Source organism: Homo sapiens, chromosome 20 (assembly GCF_000001405.40).
Source record: "Homo sapiens chromosome 20, GRCh38.p14 Primary Assembly".
Lineage (NCBI taxonomy): Eukaryota > Metazoa > Chordata > Mammalia > Primates > Hominidae > Homo > Homo sapiens.
This window is the reverse complement of record NC_000020.11, coordinates 21322661-21340717: the sequence shown is the minus strand read 5'-3', so window position 1 is coordinate 21340717 and position 18057 is coordinate 21322661. Positions and strand designations below refer to the sequence as shown.

General features: G+C 38.4%; 1 protein-coding gene across 4 annotated transcripts in view; it reads right to left on the bottom strand.

Annotated features, from left to right (window-relative positions):
* XRN2 (5'-3' exoribonuclease 2) overlaps positions 1-18057 on the bottom strand; it is an 86495-nt gene that overhangs the window by 49108 nt on the left and 19330 nt on the right. For 3 of the 4 annotated variants that reach the window (NM_012255.5, NM_001317960.1, XM_017027722.2), the window contains exons 2-14: positions 14312-14439; positions 14117-14228; positions 12048-12159; positions 10179-10237; positions 10013-10102; positions 9085-9157; positions 8900-8950; positions 8278-8435; positions 7100-7174; positions 6881-7014; positions 6724-6781; positions 6533-6640; positions 1630-1674 (exon numbers count right to left, since the gene is read on the bottom strand). In NM_012255.5, the coding sequence (NP_036387.2) occupies positions 1630-1674; positions 6533-6640; positions 6724-6781; positions 6881-7014; positions 7100-7174; positions 8278-8435; positions 8900-8950; positions 9085-9157; positions 10013-10102; positions 10179-10237; positions 12048-12159; positions 14117-14228; positions 14312-14439 (1203 nt within the window). Of the gene's footprint in view, positions 1-1629; positions 1699-6532; positions 6641-6723; positions 6782-6880; positions 7015-7099; positions 7175-8277; positions 8436-8899; positions 8951-9084; positions 9158-10012; positions 10103-10178; positions 10238-12047; positions 12160-14116; positions 14229-14311; positions 14440-18057 lie in introns of those variants that run through there. The other variant, XM_017027723.3, reaches the window with a different exon arrangement.

Genomic DNA, 18057 nt, shown 5'->3' with positions numbered 1-18057 from the left:
ACATAAATGGAATGAATGTAGAAATTAAAATTAAATCACAACACAGTTAGATGACAGAAAGGAAAGAAGGGCAATGGAATAAAGTCCAAACTGTAAGCACTTTACAAAACTCACTAAAAAACCAAATGATCTTCGTTAATATTACAAGGTTGTCTACACTTTGATTTGATGGTAACTTATACCTTCTAAACAATAGCCTATAATACTTAATAACTCAGTCCTAAAGTACATATAATACATTATACTGAAACATAGAGAAAATCTTTCAAGTCTCATTATGCTAACCCACTGCTTTTTATAATTACAGAAAACATTCGAGACACAATTTCAGGCTAATAAAAACAAAATAATTTAGGTTTAAAAAAAGTTGAGTTTGAGTTATACTTAGGAAATACAACTTTTTAAATTTATTTATTTATTTTTGAGACAGAGTCTCACTCTGTTGTGCAGGCTAGGGTGCAGTGGTGCAATCTCCACTCACTGCAACCTCTGCTTCCTGAATTCAAGCGATCCTCTCACCTCAGCCTCCCGAGTAGCTGGGATTACAGGCACACGTCACCACACCCGGCTAATTTTTGTGGAAATACAACTTTTATTTACCCTTTGCCTTGCTAGAATTTAACTCTTTATTTCCAATTAATTAGATATGATTATAGCTAACATAGGTGATAGTCTTGGCTGACTAAGATACTGACAAAAATAATAATATATAAGTAGAAACCAAATATGCCCCTCCCAATCTAAATGATTTTGAACCCACTGCAACAATAAATAACTCTACTTTTCTCCCTTCTTGTTTCCTGAAATTGCTTAATTCTAACAAAACGTAGTAAAAGGCAGTCCCTAAACTCCACAAGCTTGAAAATCTAGTAGGGAAGATAAGAAAACAAGAACTAAAGAAGTTAAATGACTATAAAGCATTATGCAATTAAGTAAGAAAACATGTATCAGACATAGGAAGCACCAGAGTTAAAAGAAAGGATTGCTCAACCTGTACTATGAGCATAACCAAGAAGGGAGGCCTTGTAGAAAAGGTATGATGTCAGTGAGCTGCAAAGTCAAAAATCCATTCAGAGGTTACAAATGAAGGCAACACTCTTAATCAGCAGGGATATGGCGTATTTAGAAGACAACAGGGGATGTGCTGGACGGCTGGAATTCAACTGGATGACAGTGTGCTCTGAACACCAAACTAAGACAGAATTGGATTCTGAGGGGATTAAGGAGTCAGTGGTGCTTTTAGAGCAGAGAAACAAGTTTAGAGTGTTGTGTTCTAGAAAGATTAATCTGACAAAGAGGTAGAAATAAGAGTACAGTAACTTTCAAGGGGATACAAAATATTGACCATTTTTACTTAAAAAACAATACTTGATTGCTGTAAACCATTCAAATAGCTAACTGCCACCCACCTCTCACCTCCCAAGTGTATCCCTTCAGACATCAGAGCCTAGAGGACCTTCTTTAAATCGACACCAGTGTTCTTTCTACAGGTAAAAAGGTAACTGGGTGGACACTTACGTCCCTGACTAAGTCCTACTGGACAAGGAATAAAGCTACTGTAATGAACATCTTCCTCATAAATTGTAAAATTACGCTATTGCCAATCTCATGAAATTAATTAAAACTCACCTTCATTCTCTTTCTTTTTTCTTTCTGTCGTCTTCTAAAACTGTCCTAAAAGTATAAAATCCACATATTCTGTCAAATAATTACACAAAAATGTCAGAGTTAAGCATTACCAGGAATGATTTGGGAGACAACTTAAGTTTTAAAGGACGACCCCAGAAATCTAGGTACATGATTAAACCAGGCAATAAGACTATATGTTCAAAATGCTGCTTATCAGAACTTAACAATGGAAGACTGAATTTAGATACAATTCAATTGATCTTGGTAATTCTGTTCAGAAAGCTTTTGAATCATTTTAGGAAAATGCAAAGCCATTACAAAGACCCTTGGTTTTATCCTGGAGCAAACAGGCTGTCAATATGGAGAAGATACAAGTAAGTTAAAAAATAAAATAAAATAAAATAAACAACTCAACAATTCTTAAGGTTTAGTTGAAGGTAGTTAATAACTAAGGTATCCATTTTTAAAAAAATCAGCAAGACAATTTAATTAGACTCTGTTATCTAAAAAGGGCTCTTATTCTATAGCATGCATGGCACAATGGAGAAAAGAGAGAAGTGGGACTCTACGCAAACATTATCCCTCACCCTGGCCAGATTCCAAAAATATCAATCCGATGGAAAAAAAGGAAGGAAATTGAGGTGTATGCACGGCTTACTACTCTGGGCCAATTTAATTCACAGGAGAGGGTCCAGCCCACGTTGATTCTTTCCCCCTACTCATTTCCAAATTGTAGCCATGGTTTCAACTAGACAGAATTTTGTGTTCATCTTGTTCCCTACTAACTCTGGGCCATTCGCAGGCCTCCCATAACCATGCCCAAGTTTCCCTGAGTATCAAGGAACTGAAATGACAGCTAGGGTGGCCATAGCTACTGTTGTAGCCTAAAACAGGGGCCAGTGGATCCTATACTGATGGTCATCCTAGTAGGTACACTTCCAAAGTCAGTCCTACCAACTGCAATATAAGGCCTTAAGGAAATTGGAAATTGGTGCTTTCTGCCAGGCAAAAAGCTGAATGCCGGATACATAAGTCTCCTGCTCTAAAGTGGAGCCCAGGTGATCAACTACCCTAAAACCTCCTCTGATGTAGAAACCACTGATTTATTTAATCAAGCTTCTGTCCCATCTTCAATGAAACGTCTCTTGTGTAGGTCACCAATGACCTGCAGACTATGAAATCCATTAGTCAGATTTCAGTCCTTATCTGACCAGGATTCTTTCCTCCTTGGATCAGTCTTCACTTGGCTTCCAGGAGGCTACACTCACCTGATCTCCTTCCCTCTTGCTATGTGTCTTTGTTCCTCAACTCCCCAGCCTCTTAACCCATTTATGCTGGAGGTTGCAAGTTTTTTGTGTGAAAAATCAAACCTTGGTGATGACCTTTAGCAGTAGGATATAAATAACTCCCACAAGCTTATCGTTCCAATAATGGAACACTGGGCAGAAATGAGTTAATGTTGGTGCTCCCCTGGGCCCAGTACTTGGATCTCTCCACTTCTCTCCTCCCATGGGAGTCATCACCTGGTCTCATGGCTTTGAACACCATCTACATGCTGATGACTCCCCAACCAGAGCCTCTCCATACTTAGCATCTCCATTTGGCTATCTCAAACTTCACATGTCTGAAATAGAATCCCCAACCCACCTTTGCACCTCCCAGTCTTTCCATGAGGGTTGCTCAAAACATCTTTCAGTCTTGTGTCACCTTTCCTTCTCTTACACTCTATGTTTAATCCATTTGCCAATCCCACTGGTTCTACCTTCAAAACATGTTCAGAATCCAACTGCCTCTGATGATCTCCACTGCTACCATCCAGGCTCCCTTGGATTACTGTAAAAAAGGCTCCTCACTGGCCTGGGGCTCACTGCTTTGACCTTTCCCTCCACACAGTACTTCCAACATGGCAGCTAGAGTGATCCTTTTACAGTATGTGTCAAATCTTGTCACTTTTCTACTCAAAACCTTACACTGATGCACAATGAAAGTTAACAGTCCTATGATGACCTGTTGGGTCCTACCAGACTGGGCCCTCCGTCTTCTTTCTGAGTTCATCTCCTACTGCTCTTCCTTTGCCTCCTCTGCTCCTTCCACACTGGCTCCTTTGTGTTCTGTGAACATCCTGAGTATGTTCCTGCCCCAGGGCCTTGGCACTGGTGATTCCCTCTGTCTGTAATGTGCTTCCTGAAAACATCTGCAGTGTGCTCCCTCACATCCTTTACAACTTTAATCAAGGTCAGCTGTCAGTGAGGCCATCTCTCGTCACCTTTTCTAGAACTGTAATGCCCAACCTCTCCCTTCCCAGATGCCTCCTCACCTGCTTTAGTTTTCTTTGTGGCACTTATTCTCTAACACTTAATGAGGTTTACTTAGTTACTGTGTTTATCTTCCAGCTCTCCCAAGAGAATGTAAACTCCATGAGGGCAGGGATTTCTGTCTCCTTTTTTGTTTTTTGCTGTATCACTAGCACTCAGAACACTGTCTGGCACATGGTAAATACTTAAATATTTGCTTAATAAATGAACAACATTCCCAAGTTAAAAGGTAAACATGAAAGCTCATACAATAAAAAGCAACACATTTCTTGCCTAAATGCTCAACTTCAATAACAATTTTTTTTTCTTTGGAGACAAGAGACTTGCTCTGTCGCCCTGGCTGGAGTGCAGTAGCATGATCCCAGCTCACTGCAGCCTCCACCTCTTGGGTTCAAGCAATTCTCCTGCCTCAGCCTCCCAAGCGGCTGGGATTATAGGCGCCCACCACCACGCCCAGCTTAAATTTTTGTATTTTTAGTAGAGATGGGGTTTCACCAAGTTGGCCAGGCTGGTCTCAAGCTCCTAACCTCAGGTGATCTGCCCACCTTAGCCTCCCAAAGTGCTGGGATTAAAGGCATGAGCCACCACGCTTAGCCAATAACAAATATTAATGTATTCCTTTTCTATCATTTGTTCTGCTGGTCTGTTAAATGCCTATCTCTAAGGGTGGTAGTCACGCACAAACAGAAGACCACCTGGGTGGACCTTATGGATCTCTCCCTTTTTTGTGCTATGAACTCCTTTGGAAATCTGTCAAATGCCAGGGACATACTTCCCAGAAAAATACATATATCTGGAAACTTTCCTATTGCGTTTTTGAGGGTTTCCCCTGGTGTCCAATCATGCTGAAGGACATGGCATGACTTCAGGAACACCAACAAAGATCCAAAGCTTTAAAATGCCCTCTCCTGCCAGGTCAGCTGAAAAATCGTATTAATTAAATCTGTAACACTATGGTGTCTACCAAATCCCATACTTCCTCCTCTAATGCCAACTCAAGGTGCAGAGTCGGCTAAAGAGACAGTAGAAGCTACTGTAACTCAAGGTTTTTAAACCAAGTGGTACAAAGTATGTAGCAGCAGATCAAGGGATGCCACCATAATTGTTGAAAAAGTAGTTAAAAATGTTCCAATTGACATCTGATCTTCCAGACAAAGCTAGTTCTGTAATTTGAATTCTATATGCAAAAAACTCTTGACATCACATAAAAACATTACCAAGTACTGAAGGCTTTTGGAAAGAATGCTTACAGTCAACCCACTATGTTACATAAAATGACACCCAAAGTTTTAAAAATAAGAGATCACTAGCTACAGTATACAAAGTTGATGAAAACAGAAAATAAGATTCAATGACACATTTTAATGTGCTGGGAGATCATGAAGCAATGTAGCAGTAATATATGTTGTTATCTGCTTAAAATAGCCACATGACTTTTATAAAATCAGTTTCTGAAAGGATTTCCTTGCTGTTTCTAAGAAGCTATTACCTGCTTATTTTGCCCACTGCTGGCCTCCCTTGCTACACCCTGCAATCACCCTCCAATCACTCTGCCTCCAGGCTGCTGCTCCTCCACTCCTATCAGCTCACCAGTGGATCCCAAACCCTGTCCACGGACGAAGTGCCTGTCCATCTCACTGTGACCCCTTGAGCATGGCTTCCCATCTCTTCAGGAATTTCCTTCTACCTCTCTATAACTGGCTCCTCTTTCTCTTTAAATGTCCGTGGTTCCCTAGGCTTCTATTAAAGGTACTTTTACTCCACACAAGCTCCCAGGGTCACACTCATAGTACACTCATAGTTTCAAGTATCTTCCATTAGTTAATGGTTCTCAAATCTCTTCAAAAGACTTCTGCCCTGAGCTTTATACACATTCAACTGCTTAATGGACTTTTCTCCTCTCAGGTGTCCTACAGCCCCCTCACATTAAACATCTCCAAAATGAAACTCAGTTTTTACTTTGTCCCCACCCCAACCCATTCCACCCCTAGTGCTTGCTATCTTAGTAAATGGCACCAGCAAATTCCTAACTGCCCAAGCCAGAACCTGGACTTTTCATGTAAGCGCTCATCCATAATATGCAATCAATTTTCAAATGCTTTGCTATTTTATTTCCTTCTTGTGTTTCAATTTTTTAAGAGATTCAGCTCTCCACAGATCCTACATTCTCCCAACCCTCTGCCCTGGCTGATATAATCCAACCCACACTCCCTACATTGTCAATTCTTCTTAACCTGTCTTCCTGCCTTCAAAACATGACAGCCACTAGTTCAATCCCAATAGACTTCCAGCCTTGGTACCCGCATTTCAAATCCTATTGATTAGAAATGTGTTTGGATTTATATTCAGATTATGAAGACAGAAAAAACATTACAATGCAACTCAAACAGGGTACAATACATAGTTCCACAGAGCAAGCAGCACAACCTTTATAAAATAATCAAAGCACTGACCACTCATGATTACATTAGTGTTGACACACCATAATGATATAAAAACACACTCAAAGAGATTAAAAGTAATCACAGGATCATCATAGCCTATTAGAGACAGGAGCAATTTTAGCTACTGCAATAGAAACACTTTACCTCATCATCCTTTCTCTTTTTAAAAATGCTATCCTCAACTTCACCAACTGCTAACATGATCATCTGTACTCTTTGCAGATTGACATAACCACTTTCTGTAAGGTAACCCTGTAAGTGATAAAATATATGTAAAATGATCTTCTTATAAAAGCAAATACTTCTGTTTTGAAATCATTCAAGAATGAACTTACCCCAGTTTTGTGTACCACATTTTTGTATATGTTAACCAAACGGTCAATTGCATTTTCCCTGTCAGCAAGAGACAAACATTATGCATTAGGACCAGTAGGCACAGTAAAGTCAAGAAGCCTAAAACAGTCGTTTGAAAAGCTACACAAATGCACATACCTAATCTCTAACGATGGCAAATGAGGGAGGAAGTCATTTCCCACAAAGAAGCACATGAAAACCCAGTCATCAATGCTCCTCTCAACATCAAATGTGAATGGTAGGCTGGCCATTGTGAGTTCTCTTTCCAAATACTACAACCAAAAAGGAATGCTGCCATTACAGCTATCAAAGGCACCCTGCTTTAGAGTGCTGATTTCAATGATTATTGCTACATACCTCACGAAGAACATTAAGCCGAAGGAAGATAAACTCTCCTTCTGCACAAGGAAGACTATCGGCAAGTTCATCATGCTGCAAGAACAGGAATGAAGATGAAACAAGTCTACTCTACGTCCAGTAATTTTTTCCAACCAAGCAAATTTTAAGGCTTTTTCTAACGCACAATCCATTTTAATATCACAAGTATTTAATTTTTAAAAGCTCACCAATGCATTTTAAAATAAAAATTACCCATAAAATCAACCACGTCTAGATCAGGGGTCAGCAAACATTTTCTGCAAAGGGCCAGACAGTAAATTATTTTGGCTACTGGGGGACATATATGATCTCTGTTTAATAGTCTTTCATGTTTTATTTTGTTTTTAACAACACTTTAAAAATGTAAAAAACATAGCTCACAGGCCAAACCTGGAGGATTGAAGTTTGCCAACTGATGACCTATACCCAACCAATGATTACCCCTTCCTTGTGAACAGATGTGCATAGATACATGTATACTGTCTTTATTGTATTACATATCTGAAATAATACACTATATTTATCTCTTTTTTCACTTAACGATGTCTTTGAAAGAGGCACCATATTCTTTTTCCCCCCTCAAAAAGCATATGACTCAAGAGGCACCATATTATTGAAACAGAAGCCCCTTTAAAGGGGACTGGACATAACCAAGTGAACCTAAAATACATAAAAAGTGGGAGTAACTTAAAAGTCTTAAGAAGTTGTAGTTCCTTTTAAGAAGAGTATTTCAAACAAATAACTTCCACAAACAAATTACAAGCTATGGGCATTATTATCTATGGGAACTAAGCCTCGTGTAGATATAGGCAATATCAGAAAAAGTGCTAAGTAGAAAGGATGAGTGTGTGCATGTTTTTGAATGCAGGTTTATTTTAAAGTACTTTAAAAGATTCGTCTCTGTCGAGACTGTCTCAAAAGAAAAAAAAAAGAAAAAAGATACATCTCTGTGAAGGGTAACGGTAACAGAACAAGCACATAAAGAACTAATCAACCACAATCTTCTCTTCATCCATTTTAAAAACAAGGTAACTCAAATATTTAATGCTATTTAATTGTATACTTTAAAATGGTTGAAATGATATTTTATGTCATATACATTTTACCACAATAGATTTTTTTTTTTAATGAGGCAACTACCATCTCAAAGTTCTTACCTTTCCCTTCTTTTCTCTTGGCAAACCTTCACAATCTTTGACCTCATGTCCAAACTGATTACAAAGACCACATGGTTTGGGCTTGTTTGGTTTGAATTCTTCTCTAATAATGGTAAAGTTCGGTTCATGTGTGGCAAGGCCAAGCATAATGAGATCAGCTATCAATCAACAATGAGAAAAACATCGAACAGTGAGTATTCTGAGAGAAGTCTTACCATAAACTACTATGAGATGCCAACACAAAGAAAAGCCCAAATGAGCACCCAAATGAGCAGCAAAGCCCCAAAGCTTGACACTTCCTGGCATTTCCCAGTTAACAGGAAGTCCTCTAGATACGTGGACCTACAACATAGACTGCCACTAAGGATTAAACACTTGGGAAATTCTCCATTTTAAAGGTATGGGGAGTTAAAAGGTTGAAAAATGTAAGAAAGAAGAAAAGAAATTAAAGATCATTGACCACAGATTAAACAGCAACTCAATACTAGTTCCCTGTCGAACATAAAATAACCAAGGCATTTTGGAACTTCCAGGTAACCATGAATAATCCATTACTGCACACCAACCCATCAACTTGCTATGGTTTAATCCAAAAGAAGCAAATCCCAAAGAAGAAACTTACCATCTGCTCCACATAAACAATGATGAGTATTTGGGTCATGGTTAGGCTGGGCTAAACAAGAGAGAAACATGTATTTATATTAATATATTATATACCACAAGAATATCACTTCATACCAAGTATTTTCTATGCAATGGCTTTTTAAAAATAGAACATATAATCAAATATTGGTAAGTAAGCTTTACCTCTTTGCCTTCTAATGTAATCCATGATTTTATGTTCTCCTTCACCAGGAGCACTAGCATCAGATAAAATAACCTATAAAAAAATTGTTAACACTTTCAGATTATCCCCAATTTTCTATAGGCACAAAAATCAAAAGAATTATATGTCTCAAGAAAAACTGAGATAAGTGTTACGGGAAAATTTTCTGAATAAGGGTGTGTGTGTGTGTGTGTGTGTGTGTGTGTGTGTGTGTGAAAAACACCAAAACTACTTCACTGAAAATTTTCTGAATAAAGAAGGGGTGTGTGTGTGTGAGAGACACCAAAACCACTTCATTGATTGACTTACTACATGTAATGGAAAGGAATGAAATGTCTGGGTCAGACCTAGCCATCAGAAAAACTGATCATTCACAAGCTCCTATTTTCACTACTATGCAAGGATATAGTGCTGAACCATATATGCCCCAAGAATAATCAATAACACATATCTATAAAATATAATTTACCATTTCTCATTAATAGGGAAGCCAGCTTATGAACCTAAAATTACAAACAAGTTCATTTACATATTATTTAAATATTTGGGAACACAGCCATTTAAGACAGCCCCACAACTTACTAATTTTGCTGTATATTGATATGTAATAATGGAAATTTCCATTTAAAAATTACTTTCCTATATATATTTTTTAAATTATGAATCCCATTTTATAGCTTCATAGTGATGGTAAGAGGACAAAATTGGCTTTAAGAGAAAATTCAGCTATCTAAAACCTAACCATGCAAGGATACCCCATCTCCAAAAACCCTGGAAGCTTTTCTTTCTTCCAACAGTCAACTAGCATTTTATGGGGCAGGGCAGAAGGATAAATAATGTCAGTCATATCAAAGTACAGCCTCGAATGATCACCCTAATCTTTCTGAAGTATCAAAATGTGAAACTTACTGTCAAATTTTTCCACCCAGGGTCATTATTTAAACGATCAGCTATGTAATAGCGAAGGCATTTAGCAAGATTGTCCATGAATTCAGTTCCCTAAAATGATAGAAAGAAATAAATTAACCTATCATTTAAGAGTTAGCAATAGCTAGCAAAGTATGAGACTACTTACTGGTGTAATACAGTTGCTGTCAAATCTTTCTTTTATTTCTTCTGGAGGAAGAAAGCCACCTAGAGAAAAGAGGCAACGTTTTGTTCTCCCCATAAAAAGTGAGATAAATTACTCAACATTAAGCCAGAACAACAAAAACAAAAAGTTCCACTACAAAAGAAAGTGAAGTCTCGTCATCCGAGGAAAAATGTTCCCTCACTGGGAAGAAAATAAGATTCCATCTCTCAAATTTAAATTATTATTATTATTATTATTTGAGACAGAGTCTCATTCTGTCACCCAGGCTGGAGTGCAGTGGTGCAATCTCGGCTCACTGCAACCTCCGCCTTCCGGGGTTCAAGCGATTCTCCTGTCTCAGCCTCCTGAGAAGCTGGGATTACAGGCGCCTGCCACCACGCCTGGCTAATTTTTGTATTTTTAGTAGAGACGCAGTTTCATTGTGTTGGCCAGGCTGGTCTTGAACTCCTGACCTCCAGTCATCTGCCGTCCTCGGCCTCCCAAAATGCTGGGATTACAGGGGTGAGCCATCGTGCTCAGCCTTTTAAATTATGTTTTAATAAGACTGTAAAACAATATATGGTACACAAAAGATATTATATTGTTACATAAAAATTATGAAGTTCTTCACTCTGTAAGAGAATACACACACACACACACACACACACACACACACACACACACACCAGTTAGAGGCCATATTTTTTGATAACAGTTCCTAAAATAAAGGTGCCTAAGAAAAATGAAATTTAAAATGCCGAGTTCATCACAGCTTTACAGGATAAGAAATACAATTATCAGGTAGAGGAATATAAAAATCCTATTTTTTCCTCTCTATCACTATTAGCTGCTTCTCAAGAAACAAGTATATTTCATCACATCTTCAAAAAAAAGACATTCTTAAAATCAGAAACATTGTTATAAATACAAACAGGTTTTAGAGTCTTAATTACAAGTTGCAGCTAAAGGAACTATATACTTGTACACTTCCAGCAAAATTCAAGTAATATAAAATTTATTGTAATTGCAGGCCTGAGCTGGCTATACTATGGCATCCTTTTTCAACTGCAGAGTGCAATTATCCGGAGCCAAGACACTGTGGCTTTTCTGGTCTATTATACCCCCTTAAGTAGCAGAACACCAAACAAACCTGCTACAACCATACCCTACCTCACACACAGGTGTGGTAGGAGAGAACCAGTCCCAACTGGCATCAACACTCCCTGATCTTCCTTTTCTCTGAGGCTTAGTCAGTTCCTACCCATGTAGCCACCAGGAATTTTAAGGCTTTGGGGAACTGCAAAAATGAAGACATCCCACCCTAACCCCTCCAAACTTGAAGGAACCATAAGTACTGTGCCTGCTCCATCAACCTATATTGAAAGTATGCAAATGACTTGGCAACAGCCTGTAAATGTGGATCGAATCACCTCCGGCTTCCTCAGATAGACCTCTGAGTTTCAAAAAGCAAGCAAACCAAAGCTGATTTGAGGAAAATGTTTACAGCACTATAGCTTTCTGACAGCCGCCACAGAGAAAAGTAGTAAAAAATACTTACTATATTTCTATTCTACAGAGACATAAAAGTTTGTTAAAGAGCTGCACTGGCCCTGAGAGGAGTTGACAATCTGCAATCTCCACCAGAATTCCCTATTCCCAAGGCTCCCTCTTACTGGAGAGTTTGAAAATAAACAAGCCTATTAAGCCTATTGGTAGATTTCATGAACTACTTTTCCTCAACAGTGAACACTGGATATTCTGGGATCCTTATTAAATTAAAAGCTTGCCTCTTTGTAAGAAAAAGTTGCCACCACCCCCTCATTCTGCATACATCTTATGAAAAAATCCAACTTCAAGATGCATATTCTTTACCTTTTGCCAATATTTCTTCCCTGACTCGCTGCTTCTCGACTGCTGCTTCCATTCCTTCTTTTGATGCCCTGAACCTCCTTGAACGCTGCTGGTTCATTTTAGCACGTGGTGCCTGAAAATGTATTTCATATTCCATAACACTCATCAAAATATTCACAAATAAATCTGTACCTTATTTTGAATCAGTTGTTCTTATAAAAGCAGTACACTAAAATGGAAGAAAGGTAAGTAATGTGTCTAATAATCCTTTCATGACAGATACCAGATGCTGAGAACTTAAATTTGGACCGAGAACCCAAAAGCTGAGCTCAATCAGGTGAATGAGTGCCACGTCAAATGGACAAACATCCTATGAAGCCCTAGCACTTATACTTCAAGCCCTCCCAGTCTAACACCAGTTCCCCTCGGTTAGGGTGCTTGATTCAGGGCACCCAAGAAAGAAAGCTCACTTTACTCAAAAGACCCAGCCAACATCTGATGAGCAGTTACTACTGAACTAAGATCAGGAAGACATTCTCTATGTCCACACCTAAAAGGAAGAATGGTGTCCAAATGGGATCCACAATGTCTCATAAAAGCAACAGAAAACTATTTCTTTATGTGAAGAATCTCGGTGCACTTCTATTTCCCACAATAAGGTTTATAATTTTTCTGTCTTTTCAATAAGGCATAGCAGTTAGAAAGAAATAATGCCTTAACCAGAAGTACTTTTAAATCACTCTAACCAAATGCAATTTCAGTGGAAAAGCCCAAATAAAGTGAACTAGATTGTAAGATTTTCGAAGTTACTGAACTGAGTTTTGGGGTGGGAAGAAACTGTGAAATATCCTGTTTACATCTAAATGTAAGTTATTTAATATTCTCTTTAAACAATTCCCTTTTCTGTAGAATGAGACCATCTAATGAAGCCCTCTCAAGTACAAAGTTCTGTATCTACATTTATATATAAACAAAAAAATGTGTGTATAAACATGTACACACACATGCATATAAATGTGTACATATTTTATACTTGATGTAGCAGAAAGAACACACTGGAGTAAAGCTAAAGATTTCTTCAAAAAAAATTAGCTGAATATAAACTGAAATGTGCTCTAAACAAGACATATTCCTTTTCTTTTTACTCTTTACTCCATTCTAACTGCAACTTAGCAAGTTATCAGGTAGCTAAGGTTTTTCACTGAGTAAGACGAATCTCACAGAAAAGTTAATCTTCTTGGATTCAAAGTTCTCTGAATTTCCAAAATCATCCCATTAGCCGCTAGGATGCACTAAAATTAAAAGAATCTACTTGCAGATAGCTAAATAAATTTAGAGTTATATCTTACCTTACCCCCCTAATAGAGTTTGCTGGTCATTTATAAAAGGAGCTACTTGGTATTATTATCATAGGTCAGTAACTTACTCCTCTCAAATCATTTTCATGACTACTCATTGCCTATAGGATACAGTCCAAACTCCAGACGGTAAGGCTTTCTCAAGCTTTTGCTATACTTCCCTTCTCAATTCAAACCACCTGTAGTTGCCAAAACATGTCAGTGTGGTCAAAGGCACGGAAAGTGTGTTTACCTGCCACATTTGAGAAATCTGGAAGGTCCTCCCTCCCCAAACCCTGTCCCATCCATCTCCCACCACCACCCACCAATCTCCCAATTATTCTTCATTGTTAAAGAAATGGAACAAAAGTCACCTCTTCTCTATATCCTAACTTCCTTAGTAGCACTGACTTCCTCTTCCCTCAACACCCTGCATGTATTATCTAGTGCTTATAATGCCTATAAATAATTAAGCTCACCCATTTATCTATGCCTCCTTCCCTTTGACAGTAAGCCAAAAGTTCAAAAGCAAGGGCAGTCGCCAACATCCCCAGTATTTCACAGTACTGAGCACAAAATAAGCACAAAACACACACACAAAAAAACATCTGAATGAATGACTGAAGGATGAGGCTTTCTTTCTCAAGTTCATCACTGTCAACATTTTTCATTATTTAGCTGACTTTCATTCTAGACACTGGTAACACAGCAAAAAAAAACAAAATGGAGGCTTCTAATTATTTTAGCACTTACCACTCCATCTATTGCCATGTAGAGAAGTCTTCTTGGTCTTACAATACTGAAAAGTCTGTCAATGTACTCAAAAATTGCAACCATCATTTCATCTTCATTTTTTGGTGCTGGTCTATAATGACAACCAAACAATGTAATATAATATAATGTTTCCTCTGTGATTTGCTATATCAGTGACAAAAATGGGTTACGTACTTGTCTTCAGGATGAGTACAGGGATGGATGATTCCATTCATATCCAAATACAGATTATCAAACTCCACATCATTTGGATTAGGTTTACTGGCATCAACTGGAATCTTTACACCATTGCATTCTTTTGGCTATGAGGAAGTGATAATTAATAGTAGTTTGATTGTTCAAGTCTAAAAATGACAGATCCTAGGCTCAATATGAACTTGTGTTTCATTTCTGAACTGGAAATAAAACACTTCAAGTAACCTTTAAATTATAATAAGTTATTTTATTCCTTAAAGCAAACTGAAGCAGATATTTTATCTGTAGAAAGTGGATGGCTTCTAACACAAGTTATTTTTGACAATGTAGATGTTTAGAAAATTCACAAATCATTCAGGTTGTTCAAGTGAGAAATCATGGGAGTCATCTTAAAATTCATTTCCCTCACCACTCACATCAGTAAGTCCTGTCAAAGTAACGTAAAAAATGCTTACCTACTTCATCTCCTTTCATTCCCACCACCATGAACAACAAGAAGTTACCATCTCTAACCTAAAAGAGCACAACAACCTTCATCTAGTCTACCCCACCTCTAGACTCTCTGGTCTCCAGCTCACTTTCTGCATTGTCAGAGTTCTCTTTCTAAAACATAAAAGTGTACGTCCTTAATCTTACCTAATTTTTCTAATGATTCTCACAGCAGGTGTTTATCAATGAGCCTGGAGCCTTCCTAGTCTCCTATCCTGCCATACTATTGTTGAAGCCCACTCACTCTCTTGTAAGTTCCTGGAAAATGCCTTTTGATCTCTCAATGCCGTCACATGATGCTTCTTTCAGAACACCTTCTTCCTCCCTTGTCAACACCCACTTCCTGAAAAATTACTAATTTCCAGGGTCTACACTCAAATCAAATGTCACTCACTTTATAACACCTTGTACATATCTCCCAAGAAATTGTTCCTTCTGAATTTCCTCATAATTTTGCTTATTCACTTGTAGCACTTCCACTGTTTTACAGTTAGTCAATCTACCCCAGCTACATTGAGTTCCTCAAAAGATAAGGGCTTACTCACTGCCAGAGATACTCAATTATGTTTTTGTAAATGTTACTTCCTTTGTTTTTCTCTTCCAGAGCCTCAGCAAGAGATTAAGACTATGAGATCTAATTTTTACTATTAACAATAAAAGTCACTTAAAAAAATAACAGTTCCTCAAGCACATATAAAGCATCACTTGTAACAGCAAAAACTGTAAGCAATTTAAAAGCCCATCATGTACATACTACATCATGGATGAAGCTCAAAAACATTAGGTTAAGTGAAAGAAGCCAGTCATGAAGTACCAAGTACTATACAATCCCATTTATATGAAAAGTCTAAAATAGACATGTTTGCAAATATAAAAAGTAGATTAATGGTTGCTTCAGGTGAGGGTGGAGACAGGGGAGGGAGATGGGTAGCAACTGCTAATTACTTTTGAGAATGAAGACCCTCTAAAATCAGATAATAGTGATGATTGCACAGCTCTGTAAATATACTAAAAACCACTGAATCATACACTTTCAGCAGGTCAATTTCATGATACACAAATTATATCTCAATAAAGCTGTTAGAAATAGAAATTTAAAATCAGGTATGGTGGTATGTGCGGGTAGTCTCAGCTACTTCGGAAGCTGAGGTGAGAGGATTGCTTGAGGCCAGGAGTTCAAGGCTGCCGTGAGCTATGATCACACCACTGTATGCCAGCCTGGGCGACAGAGTAAGATCTCATCTCTTAAACAAGTAAACAGATCAACTTAGAGGAAAGGAAACAAGCCCATCAGGAAAAGAATAAGCTCATATAACATCCATATACTTGTGAGATGCAAGTGAGATTGGAAGAGCTAGAGCTAGATGGTCACAAACATACTAGGCCAAAAAAAAAAAAAGAACATATACAGTATACCACTTACAGAAAGTTATGAATAAATAAAACAGCATTCAATATTGCTCAGGGACGAATACATATGCAATGAAAGCATGGTGAAAAGCAAAGGAATGATAAACACCAACTTCAGGATATTGACTGTCTTTGAGAAGGAATCACGGGAATGCAACTGGGCTTCAAGTTGCACTTAGAATTGGAGGGAAAGAATAACAAAAGGGATTTAAGGCAGAACAGAGAAGAAGCTACTAGACAATCTTCTGTACATACATGCTGTGAATCAAGAAAAAAAGGCTTGATCAGGAACAGTGAGTGGAATAAGTGGTAAAGAAAAAAGCAGGTCAATTCTTGGGGGGGTGGGTGGAGTCTATAGAAAAAGATAATTTGATGACCCCAAAATTAAAACAAACTCTATGATGGCAAGAGGCTCTCTGCCTCTTCATCTAACCTCTACACCCCAAAGTCCACATCCACCTTCATCCTGTCCAACGGCCCACCACACTCAGGAAAATCAAAACTCATTCTTTGTGCCCTCCAGGAAAAAAATCAGTAAATATTTCAGACCTGCTGGCCATATGATCTCAGCTGCAACAACTAATATCTGCCTTTGAAGAGTGAAAGCAACCATAAACAACACAACATGAATGGACATGGCTGTATTCCAATAAAACCTGACTCACAAAAACAGGACGTCACCAGCAGGCTAATCCCTGCCCTAGTGCCTAGCACAAGAAAAGGCACAGCTCTTCATATGGAGTGGAGCTACATGAGAATTTCTACTTCTACTACCTAGGAAAAAAAATAAAGTACGGAGTAGGTGGGTCCTAATTTTGAGAAAAGAGCTCCAGGTATTCCCAGTAAGAAAACTGAATATATTTTCCCCTCAAGAGTACTGTAGACATGTCCAACACACTTATTATGTAACTTTAGAATTCCTTTCATCAAGAGAAGACTCTGATGCTCAACAAAGAACTGACTCCTCAAGAACCTTGTCCAATGCTATACCAACACGTTTCCTGTTCAGTTAAAGAGAGATCCTTAATCAAAGGGCAGCTAAAAGGAGAGCCACTCTGAACCCTAAAACCAATGTATTTCAAGTAATGACTTTTAATTATTTTTTGGATTCCCCAGATGACAGACTGAACACACACTGCAGTCTTCCCTTTCTACCCCAAGACCACATGAAAGACCAAACAAACAAACAAACAAATCTACTGTATAACTACGGCGGAAAACCAGAATTTGTGGCTGAGAAATGATGAGTGATACCTAAAATATGGGCAACCAATAGCCCTAACTGAAGATGGAGTGCAGTACCTCCAACATGTGAGAAGAGATATGCTGCCAAAGGTGGGCTAACACAAGAGGGCTCTAGGCCCAGAGAGGAGGCTCAAGGGACAGCTTCTGGATGATTCATCAGCGCCAGTCACAGCAACAGCCAGATGGGTCAACTCCTGCCCTCTCCTCTCCCTTCACCCACCCAGGTCCCATGTGAACCAGGCAACTTGAGACAGAAGCTCCCAGAGAATGTGAAGGCTTAGGTTAGAAAGGCAGTGCAGTGCCCTGGCTGAGTAACAATGCCTAGGAAGGAACAGAGAGCACCCCTACCAGAAGGCTGGCAGTCAAGGTAGCTCTGCCTAGTAGGAAGCCTGCTCCTTCGTGACTTCATGGATAAAGCAGGGGATATATTTATTCCAAATAGGCAGTTGGGATATCATTATATTTGTGCATGAAAATGCCAAGAAATCAAGATAAAGAAGGTATTTAAAGAAGTAAAGATAATACAAATATACAAATAATGTTTGTATAAATATACATTACACAGGTTTTGAAGTATATCC